This window comes from Homo sapiens, chromosome 8 (assembly GCF_000001405.40).
Source record: "Homo sapiens chromosome 8, GRCh38.p14 Primary Assembly".
Lineage (NCBI taxonomy): Eukaryota > Metazoa > Chordata > Mammalia > Primates > Hominidae > Homo > Homo sapiens.
In genome coordinates, this window is record NC_000008.11 from 36,590,730 (window position 1) to 36,599,214 (window position 8,485).

Below are 8,485 nucleotides of genomic sequence, written 5' to 3' on the forward strand. Positions count from 1 at the left end.
AAACCCGGCACGGTGGCACATGCCTGTAGTCCCAGCTGTAGTCCCAGTTACTCACTACCTGGGGGCTGAGGCAGGAGGATTGTTTGAGCCCAGGAGGTTGAGGCTGCAGTAAGCTGTGATCAAAGCACTGCACTCCAGCCTGGGTGACAGTGAGAGCCTGTCTCAAAATAAATAAATAATGAACAATTTAAAAATAAATATTTTATTTTTACTACTTAATTTATGCGTGCATATATATATACCAGTCAAAAATCAAGTGATTTTCCTCAATGATAGAAACATTTGACACTAGTTAATAAATTTAAGAATTGTTTTCCCCAATTTGGAGAGTTACCAATATAAAACTATGATGTTTAACACTGAGAGAAGTTTGCATATTAATATATGATAGACTGATTGGTTTTAGCTGAGTACTGAATACATGGTGATAAATTCTACCTGGTGTTAATTAACATATGGCTTAACCAAGAAGAAGAGGGATGGAAGGCAGTCAGTGAGGGAAAGCAGCCCTGAAATTTTGGTATAGCTTCTAAATCTGATCATAAAAATGGGAGTCATGGCTATTTAATCTTAAATTCCAGATTCAACGCTGACTTCTTCAATGGTCTAAAAGAGGCAATTTACTGCTTCATATTTCTGTCCATTAGTGTACATTAAATGGAGATAATAATACCTAGATAGCTATAGCAGGAAGGTTTCAAAACTAAATCTCACAGTGCTGGAAAAGACTTCTGCAAGAGAGAGTGATTGCTGAGTAGGAATTTGTCTCTTCCTTCTCTGTGCTGCGTCATCACAGTTTTAAGGAAATCTACGGCTGTGATTGTGAGATCCACATTCACTGAGTTGTGCTTCCCTCTGCTTTGAGAGTCAGGTTGATTTTCCTTCAAGGTAGGACATTACTTCCACTTGCATTGCCACGAATGCCCTTGCTCCCCACACTAATGAAGAATCAGTGCTGACAACCCCAAAGTAATCACCATTCTTTTCATCTTCCCTTTTCTCCCCAAAGCTTAAACTAATAATAATAACCATTTTAAAGCTTTCTCATGGGAAACTTGAGCATGACTGGAAGGGAAATCAATTGTTCTTAGGACGGCTATTATTGTAAGAATTAATCACTGCTATTTGCAATTACTGTACCATACAATTATCACTAATATTTAGGCCACTCTGACTGCTGCCACAGACTGCATTGCCTTTGCTGTTATTTCCACAGAACAGAAAGGAAGACTGAGAAAATAAATGAAACCAAAGCATAGAGATGACACATTGAGGGGATTGGATTCTTCCACTGTTGAGCCAAGATGTATTCAACAACCACTGCCTGCGCACGTTAGAACAGCAACATGCTCAGAGCTGGAAGTTTTCCTTGTAAAGAAAAGAAGACAACTTAAATATGTTGAAGAGAGTAAAAATTAAAATCATTCTCAGCCTTAAAATCTATTTTATGAGCCTGCACAACTCAATTCTTCTAAAGCATATGATTCTTCATCATACCAATAAAACTCCCAAAACTTCCAAAATACTCCTGCCACTCCCCACTATGAAATGAGCATCTTGCAATATACCAGTAAGACTGCCCATGGTTTATCACCCCGTCTGTGCCAGTGAGAGATACTTGGCTACCCTAATGGAGGAAGAGTACTTAGGCCTTAGATTTCACCCAACAATAAACAAATGACAAGTCGATGTTTCTCATCTATTTTGTCCGGCATCAATTTTGAATTTAAAACTATTTAAAACTTTTTACACTTTTATACTTGAATAACTTTAGACTTATAAAAAACTTGAAAAAAATGTATAAAAAATATCTGTATAACCTTCACCCAGATTCCCCCCAACACAGTGCAATTATCAAAATCAAGAAATTAACACTGAATTGACTGCATTATTTAATCTACAGCCCTGCACATTTCATTAATTTTTCAATTTCTCTGTGGCTCAGGTTAAACCCAGCATTTGGTATTGTCAGTATTTTTTATTTTAGTCATTCTGATTGGTGTGTAGTGGTATCTTGTGGTTTTAATTTGCATTTTGCTCATGACTGATGATGTTTAGCATCTTTTCCTATGCTTCTTTTTTAATTTTGAGGAAGGCCTATTTACTAATTTTTCATTCTATGAATCCTACTTTTGGGGTCACATTTGAGAATTCTTCACTTCACCTTAACTCCTGAAGATTTTTGCATATTTTTTCCTAAAAGTTTTATAGTTCTATGTTTTTCATTCAAGTCCATAATCCATTTTGGGTTAATTTTTTGTCTAAGGTGTAAGACTTATGTTGAAGTTTACTTTTGTTTTTAATTCAGAAATGCTCACTTGTTCTAGCACAGTTTCTTGAAAAAGCTGTTTTCTCCATTAAGCTGTTTTTCACTTTTGCCAAAAATCAGTTGGGCATATTTGTATAGGGCTATTTCTGGGTTCTCTGATTCATTCCATTGATCTATGCTCCCATCACATAATCAATACTTTGATTACCTTCATTAATCATCCATATTCTTGATTACTGTAGCTATACAAAGAATGGAATCATTTCTCCTATTCATCTTCAAAATGGCTTTTTCTCTTCTAGTTCTTTTGATTTTCCACGTAAATTTTGGAGTAGTCTTGTTTATACCCACCAAATATCTTCCTGTTATTTTGATAGGAATTATGGTAAACTTGTATATCAGTTTGGGGAGAATTGACATCTTTACTACACTGAGTCTTCCAACTTATGAACACAGGGTATCTCTCCTTATTAGATCTCCTTTTGTTCCTTTCATCAGCATTTTGTAATTTTCAGCATGCAAGTTTTATACTTATATTATGAAATGTACACTTGTCTTATTTGCTTTTTTTGGCTTGTAAGTTGTACCGTGTTTTCAATTATGGGGCTCATGCTTTTGTTACTAGCATATAGACATATAATTGATTTGACTTTTATATGTTTATTTTGTTCCCTGTGACCTAGCTGAACTAATTTGTGAGCTCTAGGAGGTTTGTTCTGTAGATTCTTTCGGATTTAGTATGTAGAAAGTTATGTCATCTGCAAATAGAAACAGTTTTATTTCTTCCTATTCTCTACATATGTATATTTTATTATCTATTCTTGCCTTATTGCATTGAACAAAACTGCCAGCACTATGTTGAATAGAATTGGAAATCCTTGCCGTGTTCCCAATATCAGGCAAAAAGCATTCAACCTTTCACCAACTGTAACGTTAGCAGTAGTTTAGTTGAATATGTTCTTTATAAGTTCAGGAAGCTACTCTGTATTCATATTTTTCTGAAAGTTTTTATCATAAATGGGTATTAAATTTTGTCAAAATCTTTTTCTATATCGACTGACATGATCATGTGATTTTTCTTATTTCGCCTGTTAATATGGTGATGTTAATATGGTTAATCAATCATTGATGGATTTTTAAATATTGAACAGGCCTTGAATCCATGGAATGAATTTGAATTGGTCATAATTTATAATTCTTTTTATATATTGCTGGGTTTTGTTTACTAACATTTGTTAAGAACCATTGTATCTATATTAGTGAGAGATATTTGTGGGTAGTCCATCCTTCCTTCCCTTCCTTCCTTCCTTCCCTCCCACCCTTCCATTCTTCCTTCCTTCCTCTCAACCTATCTTATGATTTCCCATAGCTATCTGCAATTCCAATTCAACACCATAAGATTTGTTATAGCCTTTCCCTTTTCTTTCTTTTTAACTTTTTCCTCTGACACCCGAGTCTCAGTATCTATAAAAATTATTTATTCAATCATAGAATATACACACAACAATTTAAGAATGTGTAACCTGTACCTCCTTGCAAAATAAATTATTAATATGATTATGATGCTTATGTACAGTTCTTACCTCTTACCTTGGAGATTATAATCAAAATACTGTTTCCCAATGTTACTTAGCTTTCCTTTCCAATCCCTCCAGTGTGGTTGTTTTTCACATTTAACAGAGTTAGAATCATTTGTTTGTGTTTTGATTCTATTTTGAGTTTAACTCTCATTCTCATTGGATTTTGATTATTTACTTACCCTGGGTTCTGACTACTCCATTCTGATTTCTCTACCTCTTCCTCCCCTCCCATCCACACTCTGTAAGTAACTAATATTAGTATTTTCCAATTTGCTCTTTATTTCCATTTCCACTGAATCATGCACACCTTTGTATGTTGACTTCCTTCTTACACAAAAGTAACATACAGATATTTTCTTGAACTTTGCTTTACTTAATATATTCTGGAAATCCTTCCATCTCTGCTCATAGAAATCTTCCTCATTCTTCTTAAAGGCGCATTATATTCCACTGTGGAGATGTATCATAGTTTATTTCAGTATTCTCCCATGTGTGGATATTTAAGTTGTTTCTAATTCTTTGAGATTACAAATAATATTTCACGGAGTAACCTGTGCAAGTGTATTTTTGTATTGTTCAAAGTATACCTTAAGGATAAGTTACTAAAACTGGGTTATTGGAACAAAAGATAACTGACTATGTACTTAATGTCAGTTATGGCCAAATTCTTGCCCAGAAGGGTTGTCTATGTTTGCATTTTACATTCCCACAGCAATGTATGAGACCTTTTGGTCCCGAAAGCCTCACTAACAAGAATATATTATCAGATTTGGGAAAAGTGCCAATATGAAAAATGATAAATAGTATTTTTATGTGGTTTTGATTTATACTTATATCATTATAAGTGTGGTAAAATGCATATTTGCAGGAAATTATTTAATGGTTTTGTGAATGGTCTGTTTATGTATATCCTCATTTTTTTCTGTCAAGTTTCTGGTCTTTTTCTCTTCAGTTTGAAGGGTTCTATATATTACCAGGATAGCAATAAACTTTAACTGTGATGTGTGTTCAGTTGTTTTCTTCCAGTTTCCCAGTGGCTTTTTTTTTAACTTGTTTACGGCGTTATTTTTTATTTTTTATTTTTTCCATGCTTATATCAAATGTATTATGTCATTACATTTATTATCTTTTCTTATATTCTTTTTTTTTTTTTTTTTTTGACGGAGTCTCGCTCTGTCACCAGGCTGGCGTGTAGTCGCATGATCTTGGCTCACTGCAACCTCCACCTCCTGGGTTCAAGCAATTCTCCTGCCTCAGTCTCCCAAGTAGCTGGGACTACAGGCACGTGCCACCACACCCAGCTAATTTTTGTATTTTTAGTAGAGACAGGGTTTCACCATGTTGGCCAGGATGGTCTCGATCTCTTGACCTTGTGATCCATTTCAGCCTCCCAAAGTGCTGGGATTACAGGCATAAGCCACCGCACCTGGCATATCTTTTAAGTTTAAGCCATATTTAAAAAGCTTTTTCCTACACTTGAGGCTAAAGAGAAATATACCCAAGTTTTTCCTATAGTACTTGTGTGGTCTTATTTTTTACATTTAGATCTCTGATCTAGTTTTATCTTTTCCCAAATGGCTCCCATTTGTCTTAATGCTGTTGTGAAAAAGTTTGTTTCCTTAGTTATGTGAGATACTGCATTTGTCATATACCAAATTTGCACATGTACTGAGGTCTAGTTCTGAACATTCAATCCCATTGCTCTGTATACCTAGTTACACTCTAATATCACACTGTCAAAACATATACTTGCCAATACCCTATGTCTCATTTTCTTGCTAGAGGATGTGCACTTATGAAGTGTCTTCTGAACTATGACAACTTACGGGCCGGACAGGAGCCCCTGGGCTGTCTTACTTCCACTGGCATGTGACTTTGTCTCCTAGACTTTCTAAGGCTCAGTTATAATATCTGTAAATTTGAGAGAATATTATATATCTCAAACATTTGTGAGAATTACCAGAATATATGTGAAATTTCACTACTAACTATTATTACCAGAGTAGTAATACATGATGGTGTTTACAAAGCCAGATTCTGTAGTAGGCAGAGATGACTTCCGCTCTGGCATTGAGTGTGTAACCTTGAATCCTAGATTTCTCATGCCCAAATGGAGAAAGCAATTGTAACGATATTGACAGATTGCATTTACTATAATAACATATGTAACACACTTAATACAGTGTCTGACACATAGTTATTGTTTGGTTAATATTAGATTTTTTTCCTTTACTGCTCTAGAGATGTCACTCATGACTTTTGGAATGAGAGAGTATTCCATGAGAGAGCATTCCATTTCCAGAATTTCAGAGGTATCTGTAGACTTTATTCTGTGCAGACACCACAAAGAAGCATCCACTTCTGTGAAATTTGACATATTTTGTCATCAGTTTTATGAAAATATACATATAAATAAATAACTTGCTTTCTAAAGAGAGCCTTTAAAAAATTGTTTTGGTACCTTGTAGACACAGTGCCAGTCTCTGTTGCCCCAACCACATGTGTTTTGTGAAATTATCTCCTGGTCTCAGTTCAGTGCCTAGAGCACATATCAAACAGCTTGACTCAACTGTGGTATATAGAGCCCTAAAACAGACTGCACACTTGGGGAAGCCACTGCATGCTTCAAATTTTGAGATTCTTGCTACATTGGGTCATCACTCCTTTTCACGTTTTGGGTCACAGAGCCAGGCCTTGGACTTTCTAGAGGTAGTTTAAAGCAAAACCTCTTGATTAGAGATGATTTGCATGTTTTCTGCTCCTTTCAAATTGCTCTTTTCTGCAAAGGTTAATTTTAAGGGAAATAAAACAAGCCCAAACATTTCTGTTTTAAAGTGAACTTTTCAGCCTAATGTAAACCTTGTTTTTATTGACTGGTCCTCAAACATATGAATATACTGGAGACTTAATTCTGTATGGAGAATTTCAATTATAATATTTCTCCATTTTTATATACTTGAGAATCAAGGATTAGATTAAACATTTATTTCCTGTCACTCTTTCTTTTCTCCTAACCTTGTTTCTCCTAGCCTTCTGCTTGGCTGACCATAGAAAATGTTTTGGAGTCTTTCCCATTGACCTCATGAAACTTATCCTTTATTAATACCCATCGGCATCCAACAACTTCAAGGTGATAGGAGAACAGGAATGGCATTAATAATTTAGGACTGAATAACTAACTAGAACAGAACACTTCACTTCACCTCCATACCCTCTCTCGACAGCATGGGTGAATTGCCCGTGCCAAGGAAAACAGGGCAAGGCACTGACTGAAATGCAGAGATGGATCCACCTAACAGAAAGAATAGGTCAGCTGGGTTTTCTGATACCTGTTTTCTACCCAGTGAAAAGTAGTCTTCATGAAACTACTTGTGAATAATAAGAGATCATGATGACTCTCTAGTTTGGTGCTCTCTTAATCATAGGAGAAAACTGAGGCTCGGAGAGGTAAAATAATTACTCCAAGGTTATCCAGGGACCTGATGGATGGTTCAGAGCATTTTCTAGGACAAAATAGAGTCATTTTGAATGACTTTCTTTTTAAGGGAATTTAAGGGAAGTAACACATATCTTGAAACTAAGATTTTCACATAGGTTTATCCTAGTGAAATTTTCAGAGCTGAAACTTCATCATACTAGAGAGGAGAAAATGTGTAAAACCACTTAAAAACTTTTCTGCAAGATCCTCAGTATGACTGCAGTGGTTTTCCTCAACTTCTAGGCCCACAAGACTCATCGAACCCACCTCCTGGGTCTTCAAGATCCCTCAGGCCCACAGTATATTCCAATTCATTTCTTTCTGCACTTGACTGACACATATGTCCACATCAATCTGTTAGAATTTTTCATATACTGATGTAAACAATCAACTTACATTGTACTCACATAAGAATCTTCCCAACTAGATTAAAGTTCATTGTCCATAGAGACTACATGTTTTAATTACTTCTAGATCCACGGAGCCTAATTTATTGTTCACATCATAATAGATGTTCAGTAAGTACATGTTAATATACTAAGACGTGCTTATTTTTATGGGTGTCTATGATTATATTGCACTAGACGTAGAGAAATAATCCAGTTGCCTGAGGAGCTAGACCTAGAAACAAATGAACCCCTTCGTGTATAAGTGTCCTCTTCTCTTGAGAAACCTTGAATCCCCTCTAGTATTAATTATTTCTAGATTTGAAAAATTCTTCTGAGTTTACCTATATGCCTTTCTCAAGGCACTTAGGAGCATTCCTGTAAATATGTAACTGTTATTCAACTATCGATTTCTGAAGATTTTCATATCCTATTACAGAAAAGAGCTAATGAAAGGGCATCTGAGTTGTTAAGCAAGTTCATTCCGAGTGACAGATCTGTATTCTGGTAGAGAGGAAATCCTATCATTCATTAAAATGTTTCCAATAAGGCCTAATGAATGCATTACCGTTAAAAATAATCCAATCTGCCAGATGATTGATTTGAACCACAATATGGAGGCTGGCAGCTAAGTTTCTTTCCTTTATCTCCCAAACTTTTCCATGCAATAAAGATTAATTCCTTTTACTGTGTTGGTGAAATAATAATAGAGTCATAAAACATAACAGAAAAAGAGGAAGTTGACAAAGTGTGTGTTTGATTAATTGCCTTA